This window comes from Homo sapiens, chromosome 17, assembly GCF_000001405.40.
Source record: "Homo sapiens chromosome 17, GRCh38.p14 Primary Assembly".
Classification (NCBI taxonomy): domain Eukaryota; kingdom Metazoa; phylum Chordata; class Mammalia; order Primates; family Hominidae; genus Homo; species Homo sapiens.
In genome coordinates, this window is record NC_000017.11 from 51,190,097 (window position 1) to 51,216,860 (window position 26,764).

Genomic DNA, 26,764 nt, shown 5'->3' on the forward strand with positions numbered 1-26,764 from the left:
ACTTAACAAGCAAACATCAGAAAGGTTAGAACAGAGTATATTCGATTCTTCTTGCCACTTCAGTCTCTAGGTTGTTAATGAGGCAAATCAGCACGTACCTGAGCATATTTGGCAAGTCAGCTGGAAAAATCTGTTTCAGTTTTAATCCTCAAGTATACTTTTACATTTTTTAAATAGCTTGCTTTTTTCTTCCTTTTTTTGTTTTTAGAGATGGGGTCTTGCCATGTTACCCAGGCTGGTCTAAAGCCATCCGCCTTGGCCTCCCAAAGTTGCTGGGATTAATTACAGGCATGAGCCACCGCGTCCAGTCCAATTTAAAAAATATCTTTAAATAAAAATTGGCCAGACTCAGAGGATCACACCTGTAATCCCAGCACTTTGGGAGACCAAGGCAGGCAGATGGATCGCTTGAGCCCAGGAGTTTGAGACCAGCCTGGGTAATATGGTGAGACACCATTTCTATAAAAATATAAAAACGAGTTGGGCATGGTGGTATACTCCTGTAGTCCCAGCTACTCCAGGGGCTGAGGTGGGAGAATTGCTTGTACCCGAGAAGTCGAGGCTGCAGTGAGCCAAGATCATACCACTGCATTCCAGTCTGGGCGACAGACTGAGACTCTGTCTCAAAAAAAAAAAAAAAAAAAAAAAAAAAAAATATATATATATATATATATAACCTTATCTAAGAATGAAATGAAATATGGCCATGTGTGGTGGCTCATGCCTGTAATCCCAGCACTTTGGGAGGCTGAGGTGGGCAGAGTGCTTGAGCCCAAAAGTTTGAGACCAGCCTGGGCAACGTGGCAAGACTCTGTCTCTACAAAAAAATACAAAACTTAGCTGGGTGTGTGGCAACACATGCCTGTGGTCCAAGCTACTCAGGAGGCTGGGGTGGGAGGACTGCTTGAGCCAGGGAAGGTTAAGGCTGTAGTGAGCGGAGATTGTGCCACTGCACTCCATTCCAGCCTGAGCAACAAAGTAAGGCCTTGTCTCAAAAAAGAATGAAACATTCTATGACAAGTTTTATGAAGAGAGAAAGCTATGGCTTTCTATGGTGGGGAAATAAGATAAAAAAAATCAAACATAGTTATCAATATATTTTATATTACTTTGGCTTATGCCAACAATTCACTGTAAGGTAAAATATAGTATAGAAAGAATTTCTTTTTTTTTTTTTTTTTCGAGATGGAGTTTTGCTCTTGTTGCCCAGGCTAGAGTGCAATGGCACGATCTCGGCTCACCTCAACCTCCGCCTCCTGGGTTCAAGCAATTCTCCTGCCTCAGCCTCCCAAGTAGCTGGGATTACAGGCGTGCACCACCACACCCGGCTAATTTTTTAGTATAGAAAGCATTTCTAGAAAAATTTGGTAAAGCTTGTTTGCCATCAACTTGGATTTCTTACCAGTATCACTCTAGAAAGTTTTGCTTTCTAGGAAAAATGGGTTTATTAGGCTTCACATCTACTGTAAGCATCAAGCATCTGCTAATTTTTTTTTTTTTTTTTGAGACAGAGTCTTGCTGTGTTGCCCAGCTGGAATGTAGTGGCGTGATCTTGGCTCACTGCAACCTCTGCCTCCTGGGTTCAAGTGATTCTCTTGCCTCAGCCTCCTGAGTAGCTGGGACTTCAGGCGTGTGCCACCACGCCCGGCAGATTTTTTGTATTTTTGGTGGAGACAGGGTTTCACCGTGTTAGCCAGGATGGTCTCGATCTCCTGACCTTGTGATCTGCCAGCCTCGGCCTCCTAAAGTGCTGGGATTACAGGCGTGAGCCACTGCACCTGGCTGCTAATTTTTCTTTTTAAATAAAGTTTTTAAAAAGGATTAACTTTCAGTAGGTTTTACATATTATTTCAAGAATCATTCACAGACTCTATTCTTTACCACGTATACTTTAAATACTGTGGTAATAATTTCTCCTGTTAGTAAAATATCAGTGTTTCTCATTATTGCAAGGGTTTGCCTTTTATGGCATACTGCACCTTTAAGCATAATACATAATGCACAATCATCAGTTCTCACAAGATATATCATTTTCTGTCCAAGAATACTGTGACTCCAATTAGTTAACAATTAGAAAATGTATGTGAACACCACGTGGTGACCCACTTTTCTTATGTCCTTTGTATTGCTGGGACTTAGCCTTTTTCTTCTGTTTTGATGAAGCTGATTGGTTTTCTCTTGATGCTGAAAAATAAAAAGGGAAAATTGGTACTAGATAATTGTTTACAATTTAGACGATACAGTTGTCTAGATACAACTTATATGAACTATCTTTACCAAGACCATTATACTTAAGTACATGATGCTCTGAAAATAAGGGTACTTGTTCCTACAAAACCATAGCCTCAACATGAGACATTTTCCACTATTTACTCAAAAGCATTTATTACCTACCAATAAACTTTTAGTATGTAATTTTTAACTCACTAAAATAGTAAGTCTAGTTTAATTTGGTGACTGTTGTGTTTCTATAGTCATTATGTAATTGACTATTGGATTCACATTGCCATGGGACACATGGTCTGATTCTGTGATATTGTTGTTGAGTCTTAATGTCTTACCTGGCAACCAATCAGACATAGGTATATTCTTGTCCTGTGAGCTCATAAGATGACTTATGTGAGATAGTCCTCTGGAGAATTGCTGATTTTTACAAAAGGACACCTTTTCTGTATACCAACTTACACTGTGATGCTGGAGGCTGTAGTTGATATCCAGTTAACTGACACCACCCTACAGGATAGAGGTCAGGTGACTCACAGTCTACCCACTGATCATACTCTTCTTCCCATCCATCAAAATGTATCCTCAAGAGACGATGAATAATTCGAGTTACTGTGGCTACACATATTAAACGTGGCTCCATGAGATCTACTGCTTCTAATTTCATTCCTACACGAAATCCGTGATTTGGAACATCCTGACACAGAGAAGAAAACATTAATATTGGTATGAAGAAGAAAGAATGCACAACCCTACTATCACTAAGAAAGCAAAAAACAGAAGCGACTAGCTAAATAACATAATTATAAACCATAAATTCCAAATAATTCTTTAACTATTTAAACATAGTACGAAGGTGAAGTATTTAAAAACTAGTTAGGAAAAATCTTCATTTCTATTTCCTTCAGATTAAAAACGAAACATAGTTTGGAAACAAGTTTTGATTCCTAGGTAAAGAAAATATTTATATTGTTTCATTGCTATATTTGTTTATATTATATCTCCACTAAGAAATTCTAATACAAGGCAAAGACATTTTTATGAACATAAATTGTATTTGTGGGGCATTAATAAGTCCTCACATAATTATGCTGCCATTTAAATTTACCTTATTAAATAGTTTTACTGGTGCTGCAATGGAGCCAGTTTCCCTGAGGTAGTCAAACCATTTAAAAGGAAGTTTTGTGTAACCTAAAAAACACAACTGGTTTAACTAGCAGTTCATTTAAAATTAGCATAATATTAAAATGCAGACAAAAAGTAACAGTACAAAAAATCTTAAGAGCATAGGTTATATGATCAACTTTATTTTTTTTGAGACAGGGTCTTGCTCTGTCGCCCAGGCTGGAGTGCAGTAGTGCCCTCAAAGGCTTACTGCAGCCTCAACCTCCAGGGCTCAAGTGATCCTCCTGCCTTAGCCTCTCTAGTAGCTGGGACTACAGGCACATGCCACTGTGACAGGCTAATTTTTTGTTGTTTTTAGTAGAGACAGGGTCTCCCTATGTTGCCCGGGTTGTTCTCAAACTCCTGGTCTCAAGCAATCCTCCTACCTGAGTCTCCCAAAGTGCTGGGATTATTGGCGTGAGCCACTGCACCTGGCCTATATGATTTATACTGCTGAGTGCAATAATTCCTCCATGTTACACAGATTTCCCTCCCCTCTCTAGAAACACTGGTGTGCCTACTTAGTCTAACGCAAAAGTGGCTCTCTTTTTCTGTTTACTACAATGGTACATTTTTGCTCTTTCAATCCTAGGCTTTAGAAGAGTCTAGCACCTAATACTATGGACTGATATTTTTCTTTCTTGCAAGGAAAGAAAACTGGCTGAGCAAATACTATTTTTTATAGACCTCTGTTATAGCTTTCCTCCTTTCTTAGAGGAACAACTTAATGCTCAAGTATTAAAATTGGAAAAATCACTGGTTAAACCACGAGTAAAACAGCCATCCTTTTAAAAGTCCACATAGGGCTGGGTGCAGTGGCTCACGCCTATAATCCCAGCATGCTGGGAGGCCAAGGTGGGTGGATCACTTGAGGCCAGGAGTTCGTGATGAGCCTGGCCTACATGGCGAAACCCTGTCTCTACTAAAAATAGAAAAATCAGCTGGGCGTGGTGGTGCACACCTGTAATTCCAGCTACTTGGGAGAGGAGGCACAAGAATCACTTGAACCTGGGAGGCGGAGGCTGTAAAGAGGTGAGATAGCACCCCTGCATTCCAGCCTGGGTGACAGAGCGAGACTGTCTCAAAAAAAAAAAAAAAAAAAAAAAAAAGTCCACATGGCTAAGTGTGGTGGTTCACTCCTAATCCCAGCACTTTGGGGAGGCTGAGGTGGGAGGATCAGTTGAGGCCAGGACTTCAAGACCAGCCTGGGTAACATAGTGAGATTCCTGTCTGTACATACAAAGAAAAAAAAAAAAAAGTCAGACATGGTTGTGCCTTTCAGCTGTAGTTTCAGCTACTAGGGAGGCTGAGGTGGGAGGATTCCTTGGGCCCAGGAGTTGAAGTTACCGTGAGCTATGATTGTGCCACTGCACTCCAGCCTGGGCAACAGAGCAAGACCCTGTCTTTATTGGGAAAAAAAGAAAAAAATCATGTATGCCATAGCCTGTTGAGCCTACATTACTGACTCAACAGAGTTTGAGAATACCAATTCATATTATAAAATACACAGATGCTCAGGAAAAATTCTATACTACTGTAATTTATTAAAGTACGCTAGAATACAGTACTTTATATTTTTAGAGCAACCTACAGCTCCTGTATGTATATGTTTATCCACACACATTATATACGTACTCAGGAAATCTAGGGCTGTGTTAAATGTTGTAAACAAAAACCATGTAAGAAGAAAGCAACAATTAAAACCCAGTGTTTATATTAGGATGAAGTACCTCTGGGTGGAGTAAGTTCAATCATGTTAATTTCACAGAAACCGACAGGGAAAATAGAAGGAGAGGTTGCATGGTAACAGAACCAGTCAGATCCGTCTGCTGCTTCTGAGCCATCGATCCCAATCATCAGGAATCCGTCAGCTAGCACCTTTTCAATGAAGAGAATTCTAAGTACTTGAAATTAGATACCACTATTATAAAAATAATACTTTGACATTCTAAAAGAAAGGAAAATCTATTATATAAAGGTCTCTTCAAAGTGAAACATGCTTCTCTATTGAGTTATGTTAAATAACAGAAGTTCTAATGAAAAAAATCTATGTAAATTCTAGTGTGTTCCAGAAACAAAAGCAGGATTACCTATAACTGACCTCAGAGGTCTGGGAAAAGCAGTGCGTTTGACCATAGCTATAGCTGCCTGCTGTCACGGCATCATGAAACTGGGCTGAGTGCTTACTATTTACCTATCTAGTTTCAGCTAGGCTCCAAATCCTACTTGGTAACACTTTGACTTCTTTCTTTCTGATTTATCACATACAGAGTTTTTACAAACGGTCTCTACCTTCTTCAAGCTCCAACTTGATCTCTTTTATGCTACAGATAACCATACTCCTCTATGGCAGATGCTAAGGCTGGTCCACATTAAGGGTCCTCTTGTTCATTTCTTCACGCCTCAGAGACTGTTGTAACAAGTACCCAACTCTCCCTTTTTGAGACAAGGTCTCGCTCTGTCACTCAGGCTGGAGTGCAATGGTGCGAACATGGCCCACTGCAGCCTTGACCTCCCCGGCTCAAGCAATCCTTCTGTCTCTGCCTCCTGAGTAGCTAGGACTACAGGTGCATGCCATCACACTCGGCTAATTGTTTAATTTTTATTTTGTAGAGATGGGGTCTCACCATGTTGCTCAGGCTGGTCTCAAACTCCTGGGCTCAAGTGATCCTTCTGCCGTGGCCTCCCAAAGTGTTGGGATTACTGGCAAGAGCCACCACGTCTGGCTGTGCCCACCCTGCCTTTTTTTTTTTTTTTTTGAGACAGAGTTTCCCTCGTCACCTAGGCTGGAGTGCAATGGGTCAATCTCGGCTCACTGCAACCTCTGCCTCCTGGATTCAAGTGATTCTTCTGCCTCAGCCTCCCAAGTAGCTGGGATTACAGGTATGGGCCACCACGCCCAGCTAATTTTTGTATTTTTAGTAGAGATGGGATTTCATCATGTTGGCCAGGCTGGTCTCGAACTCCTGACCTCAGGTGACCCACCCACCTTGGCCAGGCTGCCCCCCCTTTTTAAAACTAAGACAAACTTCCCCATCTTGCCCTATTACCACTGGAATTTTGCTTTCAAAAGACCATCTCTTATACTCTAATGTTTCCCAATTTCCACTATATTAAAAATATTTTGGCTGGGCGTGGTAGCTCATGCCTGTAATCTCAGCACTTTGGGAGGCTGAGATGGGCAGACACCTGAGGTCAGGAGTTTGAGACCAGACTGGCCAACATGGCGAAACCCAGTCTCTACTAAAAATACAAAAATTAGCCAGGCATGGCGGTGGGGGCCTGTAATCCCAGCTACTTAGGAGGCTGAGGCAGGGAGAATTGCTCGAACCTGGAAGGCAGAGGCTGCAGTGAGCCGAGACCATGCCATTGCACTCCAGCCTGGGTGACAGAGCAAGACTGTTTCAAAGGGGAAAAAAAATTTTTTTTCCTTTGAAATAGGTTCAAGGTTATAGAGTAGTAGAATAAACTCTATTCACCCAGACACTCAATTCAAGTTACATACCACGCAACTCCTTGCAGTTGATTTTTGTCTTTATCTATTATTATATATACAAGATATATATATATATATATATATATATATATATATATATATATATATATATATATATATATATATATATATATATATGGAGGACGGAGTCTTGCTTTGTTGCCCAGGCTGGAGTGCAGTGGTGCAATCTCAGCTCATTGCAACCTCCCCCTTCTGGGTTCAAGTAATTCTCCTGCCTCAGTCTCCCAAGTAGCTGGGATTACAGGTGCTCACCACCACACCCGACTTATTTTTGTATTTTTAGTAGAGATGGGGTTTCGCCATGTTGGCTGGGCTGGTCTTAAATTCCTGGCCTCAAGTGATTCTCCTGCCTCTGCCTCCCAAATATTCCTTCATAGTTTTACTTGTTGAATTTTTGTTTTTGGCTTTTTCCTGCAGTATGTTGCCTTTATCTAAACTGCTAAATTCATGAATAAACTCCTAATTTGCCCAACCTCACTGAGTCTCTGCTACTTGCTCACTACTCTTAATTTTTCTTTTCTTTTTTTTTTTTTTTGAGACAAGGTCACCCAGGCTGGGGTGCAGTGGTACAATCATGGCTCACTGCAGCCAACTTCCCTGAGCTCAGGTGATGCTCCCACCCTAGCCTCCTGGATAGCTGGGTCTATAGGTGTGCCACCACACTCAGCTAATTTTTGTAGAGACAGTGTTTTGCCCTATTGCTCAGGCTGGTTTCAAACTCTGGGGGCCAAGGTGGGCTCAAGCAATCTGCCTGCCTCGGCCTCTCAAAGTGCTAGGATTACTGGCGTGAGCTACCACACCCAGCCTACTCTTAATTTTCTGAAACATTTTCTCCTAGTCTCTTATCACCTTCTGGTCTACCAATCAATCTTCTCATCTCTCTGATCATTCTTTCTGCATTCCTTCTGGAATGCTCTTTCACCTCCAACCATCAAGTTTCTGATTTTAGCTCTTTTCTGTTTTGATGACCTCATCCACCCCAGTGCTACAATGATGAGCTTCTACACCAGTGATTCCTAAAGTTTTATCATGAGTTTGCCTCTCTTCCAGTGTCTCGGTCCAGCATTTTATCCGCATGCTGAACACAGTCTCTGAGTTAGTACAGGGTGTCAAATCAACAACTCCTCTTACTCCTTTAGAGGTTATCAATCACCATATTCCACAACTCCACCTCAACTTGCCATTAATCTCTGTCTTGACTTTGCTATCTTATTTGATATAATTGCTTTCAGCCATCCTCTATGGATGCTGCCCCTCTTAGACAGTAAAACTTTCCTTCAGTCCAACCTCTGTTCAGGCCAGTACCTGTACCAAGTTATCCTGTCTACTAAAGAACTCTCGGATGACTTGACCAAGTGTTTAAAGCCTGTAATAATGGTTCCACATTATCTTTTGGTCTCTTCCCCCAAGTTCCTTTCTCTCGTTATTTCTATATGGTAAACATGTACACTAAATTTACTACTCTCAAGCTTGAGAGCTTTGCCTAAGACCTCTGGACAGAACTACCCCACTTACATGGGATTCCTTTCTTCATTCTTCTAAATACAGGTGACTAGACTAGGGACTTGTATGTATCACATATGGAACCAAACCAAAGGCTTAGCTCAGCTATTCAGACTCTTTCTCAGTAATCAGAATTAACAGACACAGAGACTGTTGTCACATGGGTGGGATCTGGAACTGAAAGGATCCTCCCAGCTCAGCGTCCCAAAGTGCTGGAACTGCAGGCATGAGCCACCAAGCCTGGCCTTGACTGTGATTCCGGTCATGTAGACATGGAGTCGATCATGGGAATCCACGTGATTTTTGTTGTTGTTGTTTGAGATGGAGTCTCGCTCTATGCCTAGGCCGAAGTGCAGTGGCTCGATCTCAGCTCACTGCAACCTCCACCTCCCAGGTTCAAGTGATTCTCTTGCCTTAGCCTTTCGAGTAGCTGGGATTATAGGTACACACCACCACACCTGGCTAATTTTTGTATGGAGATGGGGTTTTATCATGTTGGCCAGGCTGGTCTTGAACTCCTGACCTCAAGTGATCCACCTGCCTTGGAGTCCCAAAGTGCTGGGATTACAGGCATGAGGCACTGCACGCAGTCTTTATTTTTTTCTTTTTTTTGAGACAGAGTTTTGCTCTTGTTGCCCAGGCTGGAGTGCAATAGCACAATCTCAGCTCACTGCAACCTCTGTGTCTTGGGTTCAAGCATTCTCCTGCCTCAGCCTCCCAAGAACTGGGATTACAGGTGCCTGGCCCCAGGCCCAGCTAATTTTTTTGTATTTTTAGTTTCATCATGTTGACCAGGCTGGTCTTGAACTCCTGACCTCATGATCTGCCCTTCTAAAGTGCTGGAATTACAGGTGTGAGCCACCTGTAATTGTAATAAAAAAAGGGCCCAGCCTTTTTTTTTCTTTTTAACATGATCAAGGTGTTTCAGGAATCACTGTTTTAAAAAAATTTTTTTTTTGAGACAGTCTTGCTTTGTTGCCCAGGATGGAGTGCAGTGGTGCGATCTCAGCTCACTGCAACCTCCCCTTCCTGGGTTCAAGTGATTCTTCTGCCTCAGCCTCCCGAGTAGCTGGGACTACAGGCACCCGCCACCACGCCTGGCTAATTTTTGTATTTTTAGTAAAGATGGGGTCTCACCATATTGACCAGGCTGGTCTCGAACTCCTGACCTTGTGATTCGCCCCCCTCGGCCTGTTTTAAATCTTATTGGGTCATTCTGATCACTAGTGAGGAAAAGAGGAAGAACAGGGTTTGGAGCCAGTCTTGTCCAGCTGTCTGACCATGTGACATGGCAGCCATCATAATTGTTTTCCTTTTTCTTTTTTTCTGTTTTTTTTTTGAGACAGAGTCTCGCTCTGTCACCCAGGCTGGAGTGCAGTGGCACCATCTTGGCTCACTGCAACCTCCACCTCCCGGGTTCAAGTGATTCTCCTGCCGCAGTCTCCTGAGTAGCTGGGACTACAGGTGTGTGCCACCACGCCTAGTTAAATTTTTTGTAGTTTTAGTAGAGACAGGGTTTCACCGTGTTAGCCAGGATGGTCTTGATATCCTGACCTCGTGATCCGCTTGCCTTGGCCTCCCAAAGTGCTGGGATTACAAGTGTGAGCTACCATGCCTGGGCCATCATAATTGTTTTTCTTTTAGCTGAAGGTTTTAAACTGTTGAAATGCAAATCACGATTTAAGTTACACCTTTATGTAAGTAGACTTTCCTTAGGTGGTTCTTGACCATGGCTGTACATGATATTCACCTGAGACCTTAAAAAAATGCCAATGTTAGCCAGGCAGGTGGCTCCTGCCTGTAATCCCAGCTACTCAGGAGGCTGAGGCAGCAGAATTGCTTGAGCTCAGGAGTTCGAGACTATCCTGGGCAACAGTGAGACCCCATTGCTAAGAAAACAACAACAACAAAAAAACTGGTTGGGTGTGGTGGCTTCTGCCTGCAGTACCAGCTGCTCAGGAAGCTGAAGTGGGAGAATTGCTTGAGCTCAAGGCTGTGGTGAGCTATGATCACGCCATTGCACTACAGCCTGGGTGACAGGGCGAGATACCATCTCAAAAAAAAAAAAAAAAAAAAAATGCCACGTACGGTGGCTCATGCCTGTAATCCCAGCACTGTGGGAGGCTGAGGCAGGTGGGTTACTTGAGTCCAGGAATTCGAGACCAGCCCAGGCAACATGGTGAAATCCCATCTCTACAAAATATACAAAAATTAGCCGGGCGTGGTGGCATGCACCTGTAATCCCAGCTACTCAGGGGGCCGAGGCAGGAGGATCACCTGAGCCTGGGAGGCAGAGGTTGCAGTGAGCTGAGATCATGCCACTGCACTCCAGCCTGGATGACAGAGTGAGACCATGTCTTTAAAAAAAAAAAAAATGCTGGGTGCCGTGGCTCATGCCTATAATCCTAGCACTTTAGGAGGATTGCCTGAGCCCAGGAATCTGAGACCAGCCTGGGCAACCTAGGGAGACCCTGTACCTACAAAAATAAAAATAAGAAAATTAGCCAGGCATGATAGGACACACCTGTGATCCCAGCCACTCTGAAGGCTGAAGTGGGAGGGTCACTTGAGCCTGTGATCACACTACTGCACTCCAACCTAGGCGACAGAGAGAGACTGTCTCAAAAAAAAATGAACAAACAAACAAAAAACCCAAGAATTTCTCTTCTAGGTCTTTTTGTAAGAGCAGTTTCAGATGAGGGGGAAAAGAGAAAAGCAGCAAAAACTACTACCAAAAGGAAGAAAAAGGCCTAAAGAGGAAACACAGGAAACTGAAGATAAACTTGGCCTTGTTACAATTCTGAATTGGACTAGCCTTGTCTAGAAGTAACTTAAATAAATATTTTTCCTCTAAATTAGGATATACTTCCATAAATAAGTGTAGCAGACTCAAAATGACAATCTTGACAATAAACTATGTAAGATCAGAGGATTCAAATTTATTTTGAAATTCCTAGCAACCTTCTCCCCAGTGAAGATATACACATACACATTTTATGTCAAAACGAATATGCTTGGGGACTCCTTCTATTAGCTTATACCCAAATCCTATAATTGCATTTCTATATTTTAAAACCTATTATCTTACCTTTCTAATGGTTGCGACACATATTGTAGAAAGATTTAATGGGTCTATAGCTTCCAATTTCATTCCTTCCTTGAACCATTCCCCACTCTGGTCTACTTCTTTTACCTAAAGAATTATATGAAAGCACATCTACTGTTACAAATGTTGTTATTTTGATAATTAAAATATTACCAATGTGAAAAGATTTACCAGGTGCCTTCTCCTACCTACCTAATATTATAACTCAAACTTCCATTAAGGTTTAGAGAGAATTCAGACAAATAGAATTTAAGAATAATTATAATAAAGAGTTGTGACACCTATGAATTTACAAGGTCTTAATTCTTTTAAGTGAACATATGTAATTGTGATTTCCGTAATTTTAGGAAAAAACCCACAACCCTCTTTCAAACCTAATTTACAAATGAGGGTTCTTATAAAAACTTCTTACCTTAGCAAATAAATGTGGTGGTGTATCAAAATGTCCATCCTGTTTCTTTGTAATATCTACAAGGAAAAGTTACACACTAATCTGTCAGCATTTGTGAGAAGACCAAAAACCACGTTCTTTGAAGGCTTCAAACTCACAAAGTATGTCATACTATAAAACATGGCAAGAAGACATGCCTTCTACATTTGGGGTGAATATTCTTTAATAGTCTTTTCTCTCTTCAGAGTACATGTGCATATATGCTTTTAAATACATTCAGCCAATTTTAATGCTCATAATTTTAATGTAATTCCCTAGTTAGAAAATTACAACTTTAGAAGCATGTTTTCATGTGCTTAGTATTAAGTCTAACCACATTTAATCTTGCTATTTTGATTAAAATTGAATGGAAAGGGAAAGGTATCTTTAGATCTTTCAAATGGGCTGAATAATAAAAGAAAGAAACAATTATAGTTGTGACCAGAAGAAGTTCCTTCTTTTGGAGAACAAGTGGAAGGAATATAAAAAAATTTATTAGGACACTAATATGGTGTGAACCTTCACTAATTAAGGTAGAAGAAGCAGCCCAAACAACTAGAATGCTATTTTTCATCTATGCAATTCTGCAGAGAAAAATAACCAACTAGTATAATCAGCCTCAATGATGCTTTTGACAGGAGTTCTTGTGATAGGTGCTTACCAGATCTTTTGAATCGATGACCTATGCTTCGAGACCAACCAATATGATGTATTAATGGGCTGTGCATATGGCACCAGAAGTCATCTGTTCTATCTTCGCTTTCTTCATACACTAGTCTTAATCTTCCTCCAATTACACTTTCCACCACTGCTACTCGTGTTCGACACAAATGCCTCTTGTCAACCACTTCTACTCTCATGCAAGGTTTGAAAGGATACTGCATACTCTCTGAAACCTTAAAAGCATACAAAAAAAACTGCTCGAAATTCATGACAAAGGTCTACAAGAAATTTTTGTATTATACTGTAAAAAATACTGAATGCACTTGAAATGTAACACAGATCATCTGGTTCACAAAATTAAACCAATTCCTTAAAAATGTTCTCTGTTACCCTTGTTTTTTAGAGCTCTTCAGTCTTTATAAGATCCTGTTTTTTACCTTTTGGGAGAAATCAGGAGGCAGTGTTTTGGCACCAGTAAGTCGTTTCACTAGAAAAGCTTTCCAGTTTGTATATTTATGCTGAATAGCTAAAATAGAAGAAATAATCAGTTATACTTTAGCAAAAAAGAACTGCTTCATAAATTATTTGTTAAAAAAGTAACAAATTTCCTTGCAAAGTCAGGCTATTAACATTCTGAAAAGTAACAAATATAGAGAAAGCAAGTATATGCCTTGCCAGCAAAAAGCTGCTTAACACCAAAAAAACTATTTTAATTTCTTTCTTTTTTTTTGAGATGGAGTCTCGCTCTGTTGCCCAGGCTGGAGTGCAGTGGCGTGATCTTGGCTCACTGCAACCTCCATCTCCCCGGTTCAAGCGATTCTTCTGCCTCAGCCTCCTGAGTACAGGCATGCACCACCATGCCCAGCTAGGGAGAAGTTGAGATGGGGTTTTGCCATGTTGGTCAGGCTGGTCTCAAACTCCTGACCTCAAGTGATCCGACTGCCTTGGCCTCCCAAAGTGCTGGGATTACAGGTGTGAGCGGCCATGCCCGGCCTTTAATTTCCATATTACTCTAACATTACTATGTGTAAAATAGCATTAAAGTACACATATAAAAAAATTACGGTAAGGGTAAATAAACTACTTACTTCTAGGAGGAACAAGAGGTTTTCCGCTGGCTGCACACCAACCAACTGGATGGATATCAGAACCACATATATTGCACCAGAAGTCCAGACCAGAGTCATTTTCAAATCCTTCATATCTTAAAAGGGCATTGTAACCTGAAACCCAGAAATAAATCACTACATAATAAGAAAATAAAATTAAATAAAACAATACAGCATCTGATAGCAGTTGTCAAACTAGTGTCTATCTGCAATACAATCACCTGCAGGGTTTGTTAACAGACAGATGGCTGGGTCTCACTCCAGAGATTCTGATTTTGTAGATCTTGGGTGGGAACTGAGAATATGCCTTTTTAACAAGTCCTCAGGTGATGCTGTTGCTGCTGGTCTATGAACCAAACTTTGAGAACCATCTGTTCAGTGCAAACAGTTCAACTGTTTTCAGAGCATGGCATCCTTACATGTATTTCAATTGTACCCATAATTTCTTTTTCTTTTCTTTTTTGAGATGGAGTCTTGCTCTGTTGCCTAGGCTGGAGTGCAGTGGTGCAATCTTGCCTTACTACAACCTTGGCCTCCTGGGTTCAAGCGATTCTCCTACCTCAGCCTCCTAAGTAGCTGGGATTATAGGCATATATATGTAATTATACATATAACATACATATTTATGTATAAGCATATAAACATATAAAAATACATATTATATATTTATTTATATTATATATAATTATATATATATATATATTTTATGAAGACAGGGTCTTGCTCTATCGCCCAGGCTGGAGTGCAGTGGTGTGATCTTGGCTCACTGCAACCTCTGCCTCCTGGGTTCAAGTGATTCACCTGCCTCAGCCTCTTGAGTAGCTGGGATTACAGGCGTGCGCCACCATGCCCAGCTAATTTTTGTATTTTGTAGAGATGGGGTTTCACCATGTTGGCCAGGCTAGTCTCGAACTCTCAACCTCAGGTGATCTGCCCGCCTTGGCCTCCCAAAGGGCTGGGATTACAGGCATGAGCCACTGTGCTTGGCCTTGAAATGTATTTCAAAGAAATTGCTTTATCCAGCTGCTTAGGTGGCCAATTACTCCTGGGTAATTTGAATGTGGCTACTTTAAGAATCTAAATTTTTCTGTCGTATGTATTTGGAAATAAGATTTGAATATGCCAGGTAAAAAGTTCAATAAACACAAAGAAAATTATGTAAAATGAGTTAAAAACTATGTCTTAGGCAAATAGGAAGGCTTACTCTTGGAAAGTACAAAAAATATGTAATATATCCTATTTATAATTCTATAAACTTTATGTTGATAAAAGATTACGATTTAATTTAAGGCCTTTAATGAAACAGAAAAAGGCCAATATATGTGTATTTCAGGTTAGGAGACAAGTTTAGTCAGCATTTTCATGTTTGTGAAAATTTATAGCCTTAAATGTTCAGTTTTAAAATTCAATAATTTCTCAGAACAATTTATGAGTTTGCTAATTACTGCTGAACTCTAGCTTCTGGTTAACATTAGGCTCACTTCTACAATGGCATTAAAGTGGCTTAAAAGAAGATACATGATGCAGTTAGATAAAACAGAAATGTAAAATCGGAGATGGAAGGCAGAAGTAATTTTTGGATAGTAAATGCACTGATCTTAAGAGCTATTTAAATGTAACTAACTTAAACACCCAGGGCAAAAATAATATGCTGTTGTTTTAAATTACAGTGTAGAGAATAATACAAGCATTTAGTGAATGCTTATACAGCTGGGAAAATGTTTCAAGAAAAAGATGGGGAATTGACTTGGGTAGTAGTACAGTTCAGTACAGAGATGGGACACTCTTGCAAGAGTAACCCAAGGCACAGAGGTGACAAAAACGTGCTGTATGAAAGGGAGAGGGAGACTGGCCTCATCACAACAGATCATTTATGCTGGAGAACTACAATACATCTGGCATGTGGTATATGGTGCAACTCATCAATAGTCATAAATGCTGGCTATCTTGATCCTTTAAGTACAAAGAGGCCATAAAAGATGCTTGAACAGAAAAATAAAATTAAAATAATTTTTAGGTAAATTAAGTCAATTAGCAGTACACAACAGAGCAGTCTACAGTGTGTTTTGAGGAGAATGCCGGAAATAAAACTAGAGAGAGTGGGAGGAGTTAAAAATCTGTCACAGTAGTAATTGAAGATAACTTTTCTTATGAGTGGCTGCCTGCCTCTCCTCCACAATGCCCTACTACACTACTCACTGAGTATCTTGTCATATTAATACCTGGTAGTAGTCAACATTTGGCCGATGTGAACATGCTGGAAAAAATACAAGTCTTATACTTCTGGATATCATCTTTTGTCCACATTGTCTACCATAGTAGATTCCTAACATGTTTACTTCATGAGCAGTAAAGGGCTTGGTATGGTGGAGGCAGTGGGAATAAACAGAACGGAAGAACCCAAGATATATAAAATTATCAACACTTGTATCAATTTGGTATTAAGGTTCTTACCACTTTATTTTTATTTTTTTAAAATGGAGAATGGGTCTCGCTATTTTGCCCAGGTGGGTCTTGAACTCCTAGGCTCAAGCTAACCTCCCGCCTCTGCCTCCCTAAAAGCTGGGATTACAGGCATGAGTCACTGTGGCCAGCTCTTACCACTTTTTTTAGTACCTCAACTTTTGTTACTTTTCAAAGTAACATATACATTATGGCCTATATATCTGGTCTATTGCTGGATTATTTTTATGGCTGTGATCTAAGAATTACTTTTACATTTTTAATGGTTGAAAAGAAAAAAAGGATATTTCATGATACATAACTATTATATGAAATTCAAATTTCCTGTAAATAAAGTTCTACTGGAACACAATCATGTCCATTTGTTTATGTATTGCTAAGGGTGCTTTCATGCTATAATGATAGAGACGGATAGCTGTGACAGAGATCATATGGCCTGCAAAGTTGAAAATATTTGTTTGGCTTTTCACAGAAAACAATTTGCCAACCCCTGCCCTATATCATAACATATTTTTTATTTGGCAATACTTGCAAAATTTATAAACATGCTTTTTTTACGAAAGGTTACAAGGATCTCTGCATTTTCTACTAAACTATTATTCATGCTTTTCACCTGCTAATTTTACAATTCCAGCAATCCAGAAGACTTTGGTAGGTAGGCTGCAGTCTGTATTGGGAACTTCTACTCTCACATTTTCTGAGATATCACCCCAGCAGGTCCCCATAGGTGCCTGTCACATAAAAATCATTAAATTATTGTCTTATTAACATAAAGCCTAAAACATATCAATGAAAATTAAGCAGTACCATCAATAATAGGAATATTAAACTAAAAATGTCATTTTAATTCCGTTTGTTTCCTAGAATTCTATCTGGAAAAAGCCAGTTTCAGGGACAAACAAGATAAAGAGAAAATTCACATATATTAGACTAGATTCATGCTGACTTCAAAATCTGATACTGTCCTAATATGAGATTTAAGCAGCGATTTTTCTATGAGTGGAATTACAAACTCAATAGCAGATTTAATAGGATTAAACTGATTTAAGAAATTTTTAATATGTACTGAGTGAATACACTTCACCCTAATTTCTACTTTTAAAAGATCTGGCCTAAGAGCAGAAAGAAAAACAATTCCAATCAGCAGTGTGGTTTCCAACAACATGAATAAGAGAAATGAAAATTTTCAATTTAAATTAAATTCATAGATTAGAAATCTAGTCCACATAGATGGACGTGAGGGAAAAGCACTGGATAAAGTTATTAAGAAGGTGGAGTTGAAGAGTTTTGGAGATGAGTACCATGGTAAACTATTTAAATTATTATTTCAAAATTTCTCATGTAGAAATTACTATAAAGAGAAAACTTCCAATGTTAGAACCGGTAATCACTAGCCTCCCACAGCAAATGGTTAAGATGGGGACTCGGAAAATCAATTAAATGAGCATCATGAAGGGATTTTCTGAAATCTAACAGATGTTCCCAAAGTATTGTTTCCATTATATTTTAATCTTTAAAACTCAAGGCAATTCACAATTACTTGGAACTTATGCAATGGTAAATTAAATCAAATAAGCAAATTTAAGAATATAAATGCTGATAACACTAAACAGTTTGTGTTGCTCTGGACAGTCAGTTCCTCATTCAATTTAGAATGTTGATCATAAAGAAAAGGATTATGTGAGGTTATAAAAGACTTGATAGTATGAACAAATCAGGAAAAACCAAAATAGCCTCAAAGCTCAAAGATGAGCAAAGATATCTAGGAGTTACATGAACTAGCCAATTTGAACATTAGGCAAATGTCCTCCATGCAAGGCCCCTCCTACTTTGGTGGATGCTCACCCAACAGGAGGATTAGCCTAAAACAACATTCAACCCCTACCCTCTTAGTAGTTTCTGGAATTTCTGAAGGAGAGGAAGAGAATGTCAAATACTGAAGTTGGATAAGTCTAGAAACCAAAGACAGAATCAATTAATGGCTACTGGTTTAAGTAGTAAGCAATGAGTTTACCTCAGTAACTTGGAGAAATGGACAAGCTCAACTATTTGCGGTTCTGGAAGGGTACATATAACTATCTCCCCGACTTGTGCAAAAAATAATATATTCATTGTGACTACCTCTTCTTTAAACTGAAAGACTGGACTCTTCAGGTTCTGCTATCTTTCCCCTATATCATTCTAGACTGTAGGGCCATCCCTATTGCCAGCAGATATGATTAAAAAGGAGACACTAGAAAGAAGACAGGTAACATAGAATAAACTAACATATATTAACACAAAGATCATGTATTAATTTCTGTGAGGATGTACCTATTCGAGTAGATAGATGCAGTTAAATGAATGCAGTGCAGCATCCATCCCTCTGTCTGGTTACCAAATCTGTGAATTGGGTTTATTTTTCACTGAGAAGAAAGAGGCGTGCTTATGCTAATGAGCTGGGGGTCAGGTTGGCACACTGGTAAGTAAGTTTGGCATACAGTACTCCTTTTTGAGCTAAATGTGTCATAGACTTTTATTTTTTTAAAGCCTTAACATTTGTTGGAGAAAACTTTTAATATTATTTTATTAAAGAAAACAAAATGTCAATATGCTTGCTTAAAAAATAATGTTCACTTTGGTGGAGGATACTGTGTTTTGGTCCCTACAGTCTGGATTGGTATAGGAGAAAGTAGCAGAAAGTGACATTTGTTCTTGCCTGTAAGGTTGTGGTTCTGCTAGGCCCTCTTAAACCAATCCATATGGTTCATTCTAAGAAAAAAAGTGAAGAAACAAAAACATCAACAAGAAAGAGCACCACGGTCATAGCATAGTATGTGCTCAATGTGTTGAAATAACACGGTAATTTCATAGATATGTCTGCCCTTTTGTTTAAAATGAATATTCTTAAGTGTGGAAGACTAAATGACCCAGGGCTTGACAGCCATCTTCATCCAAGTCATCTGTCTTCTCTTGCTGGCAGGAGGGATACCTCTGAAAGTCTGGATTGGCATAGCATGAACTAGCAGAACCATAATTTACAGGTAACAACAAATTTACCTTCCAGACTCAGGACGCGAGGTCCACCTCAGGCTCCTCCCAAACAAGGAAGATCTGCTCCACCACTTCCTGCTCCAGGGCCACTCGTGAGGGCTATCTGGGAGCGACTCTCCTTCCCTGCAAGGTAAGCTGTCATCAGGTCCTGCAGGACATGGCCAAATCCAAATGCTGAGGGGTCCCCAACACAAATGTATGACAACCTCCACATGACTGTAAGAAAATAAGTGGGTGGGAAGTCTTATTTGCTGTACTTCAAGATCATTCCCAGATGGTCCAACAGCTCAGCTGGCTAGTATTCAGACTCTCAGGAGGTTGATGCACTGCACACACGATGCTTTATGGCAGAGATACAGATTTCCCTCTGCAGAGCTGCCAACCAAAGACAACCATACAATCTTTAATATTAATCTGTAAGTGGGCAGAGACAAGACCTGAGGTTGCATATAGGTAACCAAGAAGGAATAATTTATCCCAATGAGATGGCAAATGTACAAAAAGCCATCATCAAAATGTCTTCAGACTAACAGGCAAAGTACATCTAGCAGAGGATGATGAAATATTATTTGGAAGGGGAGAAAACATTACAGAAAATTAAGTAGAAAGAAATGAGAGTTCCTAACTACTTACAGAATTTTCTGGTAGAAAGTAGAAAAAGAAAAGAAAAACTGTTCCTGCCTTCTCCATAAAGTCCACTCACCTTTTTTTTGAGACAGAGTCTTACTCTGTCGCCCAGGCTGGAGTGAAGTGGCGCGATCTCGGCTCACTGCAACCTCCGCCTCCTGGGTCCAAGCCATTCTCTTGCCTCAGCCTCCCGAGTAGCTGGGATTACAGGCGCATGCCACCAAGCCTGGCTAATTTTTGTATTTTTAGTTTTGCCATGTTGGCCAGGCTGTTCTCTAACTTGTGACCTCAGACGATCTGCCTGCCTCAGCCTCCCAAAGTACTGGGATTACAGGCATGAGCCACTGTGCCTGTCCTCTACTCATCTTTTGATTTGATACCAGAATCTATCTTTTGGGGTGGTGGTAGCAGGCAGATGGGGAGTCCAAGGAGAGGACAAAAAGGAAAATGGGAGGCCTAGGGTGGAAGTAAGATTAAGGCTGAGATAATGCTATGTATATGTAAAAAGATAGGAAGCACTGGTTACTAATTTGAAAGGCGGCCAGGTGTGGTGGCTCACGCCTGTAATCCCAGCACTTTGGGAGGCTGAGGCAGGTGGATCACCTGAGGTCAGGAGTTCAAGAGCAGCCTGGCCAATATGGAGAAATCCTGTCTCTATTAAAAATACAAAAATTAGCTGGGTATGGTGGCACATGCCTGTAGTTCTAGCTACTTGGGAGGCTGAGGCAGGAGAATCACTTGAACCCAGGAGGCAGAGGCTGCAGTGAGCCAAGATTGTGCTACTGCACTCCAGCCTGGGCAACAGAGCAAGACTCTGTCTCAAAACAACAACAACAACAACAACAACAACAACAACAACAACAACATGCATAAAACAGTCCATAATTTTTTTTAAAAAACCATATTAAACCAATATCACTAAAGAATTGGCATGGTGTGGTGGCTCACGCCAAGGACTTTGGGAGGCCAAGGTGGGCAGATCACTTGAGGCCAGGAGTTCAAGACCAGCCTGACCAACAAGGTGAAACCCTGTCTCTACCCAAAACACAAAAATTAGCCGGGTGTGGTGGCACGCACCTGTAGTCCCAGCTAGTCAGGAGGCTGAGACACAAGAATTGCTTGAACCCAGGAGGCGAAGTTTGCAGTGAGCCAAGATGGTGCCATTACACTCCAGCCTGGGTGACAGAGCAAGACTACATCTCATAAAAAAAAAAGAAAAAAAAAAAAAGGAAAAAAAAATTTAAGTTAGGCTTTCTTTAAAACAACGGAAAGACAGGGCCAGGCATGATGGCTCATGCCTGTAATCCCAGTACTTTGGGAGGCCAAGGTTGGGGGATTGCTTGTACCCAGCAGTTTGCAACAGCCTGGACAACATGGCGAAACCCCGTCTTTACTAAAAATAGAAAAAAATTAATACAAAAAATTATCTGGGCATGGTGGTGTGTGCCTGTAGTCCCAGCTACTTGTGAGGCTGAGGTGGGAGAGTCACCTGAGCCCAAGAAGTTGAGGCTGCAGTGAGCTGTAATCGTGCTACTGGACTCTAGCCTGGGCAACAGGAGTGAGACTGTTTAAAAAAAAAAAAAAAAAGACAAGACAGGTGATGTTTATTATGTTAGAGTCCACTGCTTTCCCGCAGAGAGTTTATTTCATGGCAACACTCAGACTAGCTAACTGAGATGGAGCACTAAGAAGTACCAGAAACTAATTTAAGTTTTATTTCCATTAGAAGGAAAATCCTGCAATCTAGAATGCTACATTGAAGATTTTAACTTTCGTTAAAATGGAGATGAAGTATTATGATTTATTTCTAACCTTTAATAGAGTCCTGTGTGTGGGGTCACGACTAGGGAAAAAAAAAACCAAAAATGACTCTACTTGAAAAAGATTTTACTAATAAGCACATAACTGAGAAATAGATAATGAGTTTTACTGTAAACTATTGCTACTGTACATACACAAAAGGGCTTTTATTTTTCTTTCCTTAAAACCTAAAAGTATATGGGATACACACTGCAAAAAAACATGGTAACTTTATCCCTTCAAAAAAGCTGACATACATATAGGTCAGGCAAAAGAAAGAGGATTAGAGTATGTCACGTAAGTAACAAGAGGGTATCTGTGGAGGCAGAATGAAAAAGTATGCGGCCAGGCGCGGTGGCTCACACCTGTAATCCCAGCACTTTGGGAGGCCGAGGTGGACAGATCACGAGGTCAGGAGTTCGAGAACAGCCTGACCAACATGGTGAAACCTTGTCTCTACTAAAAATACAAAAATTAGCCGAGTGTGGTTGTGTAGGCCTGTAATCCCAGCTACTCAGGAGGCTGAGGCAAGAGAATTGATTGAACCCGGGAAGCAGAGGTTGCAGTGAGTCGAGATCACACCACTGCACTCCAGCCTGACTGAAAGAGTGAGACTCCGCCTCAAAAAAAAAAAGAAAAGAAAAGAAAAGAAAAAGTATGATAAACTCAGCTGAAAAGTTTCTGCATCTATGTGTACAAATGACTTTTTTTTTTTTTTTTGGTACAAACTACAACTGTATTTGAGGGAGAAAATGGGATGATTTCAACATTTCTGATCTTAGTAAAGACAGCATCAATAAGACATGGGATTATTAGTTTAGGTACCAAACAGAAGAAATCTGAAGTCTGTAAATATAAAACTGAAAGAAAATGACTTTATGTACATTTATACATTTTAGCCCGTGCTACAATACCCAGGAAAAAAAAAGTTTTACTTGATTTCACATGGCAAATAATGGGAAATAGAAGTGCTTCAATTTAGTCTTTAAGTAATTAAAAAATAATGAAGAGTGCTTAATTTATTTATCTATTTATTTTTGAGATGGAATTTTGCTCTTATTGCTTAGGCTAGAGTGCAGTGGCGCAATCTCAGCTCACTGCAACCTCCACCTTCCGGTTTCAAGCAATTCTCCTGCCTCAGCCTCCCAAGTCTAGCTAATTTTTTTTCTATTTTTAGTAGAGACGGGGTTTCACCATGTTGATCAGGCTGGTCTTGAACTGCTGACCTTGTGATCCGCCTGCCTCGGCCTCCCAAAGTGCTGGGATTACAGGCGTGAGTCACCGTGCCTGGCCTGAAGAGCATATATTTTTATTTATTTTTTGAGACAGTGTCTCATTCTGTCACCTAGGCTGGAGTGCAGTGGTACGATCAGGGCTAACTGCAGCCCTGACCTCCTGGGCTCAAGCAATTCTTCCCCTTCAGCCTCCTGAGTAGCTGGGACTACAGGCATGTGCCACCATGCCCAGCTAATTTTTTTGTAGAAATGAGGTCTCACTATGTTGCTCATGCTAGTCTCAAACTCCTGGGCTCAACTGATCCTCCTACCTTGGCCTCCCAAAATGCTGGGATTACAGGCATGAGCCACTGCTCTTGGCTAGAGTGCTTTAAAGCCAAATGTTCTGAATATACAGACATCAACTGAAGGCTCTGCTGGGTTAAAGTTAAATTACTAATAGAAAATAATCTGTGAATTTCTTTGATCTATACATTGCACCTAACTGGCATATAATACTGTATTACTATTTTGGAGATTTTTCCACCATTAGGATAGATATGGATACTGCTCTTAGGGGCTTAATTAAAAAGCACATTAAAAAAAAAAAAAGACTTGCATTATGAAAAATGGGTTAAAGCCCAAAGCTGAAAATTATAGTCCAGCTACTCAACAAAGTAGCAAGTATTCTTCATTTATAAGAGATGGACTAGCTGAACCAGATGATTTTAAAGATGCCTTCTAGCTTTGTGATTTAGGATTAATTAAAAGTGATATTACCCAATTTTAGTGGTTTCCAGCCTCAGGAACTGCCAACGATGGGGTGTTCAAATGTCAGGAGCCAAGGCTCTGGCAGCAACACCCCATCTCTGCCAGAACAATCAACGCAGTTTCCTCTTATCCTGTGTTCTGAGGTCTAAGATTTTTGTTAGAGAAAAGGGGAATTCTTGCCAATGTATGGCAAGTAAAGAAAAGAAAAAAAAAAAGGGCAATTATGATGCTTAAATAAAAGGTCTGAAAAACTAACCCCTAGATACAATAAAAGACATATCGGCCAATCATAATACACAGATTTTTTAGTAGTATATATGTGTGTGTGTATGTGTGTATATATATGTATAAACACACACATATATATATACATACACACATATGTATATATGCACATCATATATATATACACATACACATACACTTTTGTAGAGACAAGGTCTTGCTATGTTGACCAGGCTGGCCTCAAACTCCTGGCCTCAAGCCATCTTCCTACCTTGGCCTCCCAAAGTGTTGGGATTACAGGTATAAACCATTGTGCCCAGCCTAAGTAGAAATATTAAATGTCAATTGGGGCTTGATTTCCACTGCCGATTATAAAAAAAAAATTGTCCAATACTGTTGTAATTGAGTGACTGAGTATAAGCCACTATAAATAGTTACAGGAATTATCAAAAAAGATATAGTCCTATGATCTACTCTGTAGAAAGTTCTTTCTCAGAAGCTTACAGACAGACCATGGAAAGAAGAATTATATTCTTGAAATTCTATGATTTTAGAACTAATCACAGTAATATCTAAGTGCTGGAAAACAGAAAGTATTTATCTGGGATCCTTATTCTAGAAGAAGAGGTTGGGTTAAGTTAAAGAAGCCAGGGCTCTGACAGCGTCCCCATCCCAATTCCTGACTCAATCACAACAGCTCCGCTTCCGTGTTACATGTTACATGCTGGGTGTTCTTTCATAAATTATGTTTGAAAAAGAATCCCCTAGGAGCAGGAAAGGCTCCCGACTTGTACTCAAGTAGAAGAGAAGGCAGGTGTAGAGTCTGGAACAAAGAGGCCTTCCTGACTAATGAACCAGTTTCAGAGCAAGTATCAAGTCTTAGAAGACTTTGATGATACAAGGCAGGATCTTGTACTCCTAGTAGCTCCTGACTATAGGTTTTCTAAAGACAAAGCTAGTAACTCTCCTTAGAGACCCAGAAAACTGTTTCGGAGGGGACAACCAGGAAGAGTCAACTCTAAAGGACAAAATCAAGTGCAGCAATGAAGTGTGGCCCCCTTAACAAAATGGCTTCAAATGAATATGCCAGTTAAGAGAGCAAGCTCTTTGTACAAAAACATACCAAGGAATTACTAAGACAGATTTTTCCTGTTTGATAAGAAGGCAGTAAAGAGAGGTAAATGGAACAGGAAGGCACTGGGTCCACATAATTGAGAAACAGATGCCTCACTTCTGAGTGAGAAAGCAGAGGCTCCACATTCTTATCATTAATCATGTGGTAAGGTTAGCTGCTTGATTCCCTGATAGAACATTTCAATCTCAAAAAAGGCAGAATTGAACAAAGTCAATCAAGTTCATTATTACCATAGAGATTTTCTCATAAATAACTTTAATATAGTATAACAATTCAAAGATTTGGACAGAAAACAAAATGTTATGCTTCTGGGGTTGAAATGCCATTTTTTTTAATACCCTGACTACTTACAGAAAACAGTCTGATATGGTTTATAATATAAAAGGAGATACAAAGAGAGAGAAAGGCCATTCCGAAGGAGACAAAAGACAAATGTTCCAGGAATCTGAGATGAAAGAGTTACTGTAACTGAGAACTTAATCTAATTCTGAGCGTCAAGAAAGCAATATCCCAAGAGAAGAGAGTTAAAGATTTTCTTTTTAAAGATCTCTCTTTAAAGCTGCTATTGCTGTGTATGGAATATTTCTCACAAATGTGACACTATTATCAACATTACAGCAAAATAAATCACCTACTTTACACAGAAATAAGATTCCATTTAAGGCAAGATGTCACTGACTAAGGGCTTCATATTGTATTTTCAAGAATGAGAATTAGCAAATTAACCTGCTTGACTTTGATCAAACTCCTTTAATGGCCATGAATCAGTGAAAATTCACTTAGATTTCTACAACAGGAACCTAAGCTCAGCTTTGTTCATATGCTGTTATCTAAAAATAAAGCCCTAATTTTTTTTTTTTTTTTTTTTTTGAGACTGAGTGTCGCTCTATTGCCCAGGCTGGAGTGCAGTGGCGTAATCTCAGCTCACTGCAACCTCTGCCTCCTGGGTTCAAGTGATTCTCATGCCTCAGCCTCTCGAGTAGCTGGGACTACAGGTGCCCACCATCACCCCTGGCTAATTTTTGTATTTTTAGTAGAAACGGGGTTTCACCATGTTGGCCAGGCTGGTCTTGAACTCCCGACCTCAGGTGATATGCCTGCTTCGGCCTCCCAAAGTGCTGGGATTACAGGCGTGAGCCACCGTGCCCGGCCTAGAGCCCTAAGTTAACAAAATGTTAAATGCAAACAAAAGTTCATGTATTTTCTAAATTCTCTTTTCTTCTTAAACATGTATAGCAGCAGAAAAGATCTTTAAGTATTAATTAAAGTTGTAGTCAGGTTAAACAAGTATTGGACAGAATTAATCAAATCTAAAGGAATAAAATAATCAAAAGGAAAGAACTTGTCATCAGATAAATTTTAAACATAATTCTAAATTATTTTAAATGCTCTGTAACAATCCACTTGCTGAAAAGAAAACCTTTTAAAGGGTTTCTCATGATATATATATATAGCACATATTTTAGCTCACAATACTATGTTACTAATAGTTCCTTGTTTTTGTGACTTAACATTTGGAGACAAAAAAATTAGAAAAAAGATCCTTCCTCTTCTGAATTATCAGTTCAAATTGCAGATTTAAGTAACATACACAATGAATGGTTTGTTAGGTCAAATCGTATGACATTGTCAATATGCATATTTTTGATATACAATACTAGCAATTTCATTTACTTTCATTTTTTGTAGAAAAGAAGTCTCACTCTGTAGCCCAGGATGGTCTTGAACTCCTGACCTCAAGTGATCCTCCTGCCTCATTCTCCCAAGTTGCTAGGAATACA

At 39.9% G+C, this 26,764-nt stretch overlaps 1 protein-coding gene across 22 annotated transcripts in view; it reads right to left on the reverse strand.

Moving 5' to 3' along the window:
- Positions 1 to 26,764, reverse strand: part of MBTD1 (mbt domain containing 1) — an 83,534-nt gene that overhangs the window by 12,672 nt on the left and 44,098 nt on the right. For 15 of the 22 annotated variants that reach the window (XM_011524926.4, XM_047436322.1, XM_011524928.3 and 12 more), the window contains 10 exons: positions 16,792 to 16,909; positions 13,695 to 13,829; positions 13,044 to 13,132; positions 12,605 to 12,839; positions 11,926 to 11,981; positions 11,496 to 11,600; positions 5,118 to 5,265; positions 3,332 to 3,414; positions 2,686 to 2,920; positions 2,107 to 2,184 (listed from right to left, as the gene is read on the reverse strand). In XM_011524926.4, coding sequence (XP_011523228.1) covers positions 2,107 to 2,184; positions 2,686 to 2,920; positions 3,332 to 3,414; positions 5,118 to 5,265; positions 11,496 to 11,600; positions 11,926 to 11,981; positions 12,605 to 12,839; positions 13,044 to 13,132; positions 13,695 to 13,829; positions 16,792 to 16,909 — 1,282 coding nt within the window. Of the gene's footprint in view, positions 1 to 2,106; positions 2,185 to 2,685; positions 2,921 to 3,331; positions 3,415 to 5,117; positions 5,266 to 11,495; positions 11,601 to 11,925; positions 11,982 to 12,604; positions 12,840 to 13,043; positions 13,133 to 13,694; positions 13,830 to 16,791; positions 16,910 to 19,217; positions 19,335 to 26,764 lie in introns of those variants that run through there. The other 7 variants (XM_047436326.1, XM_047436325.1, XM_011524935.4 and 4 more) reach the window with 5 other exon arrangements.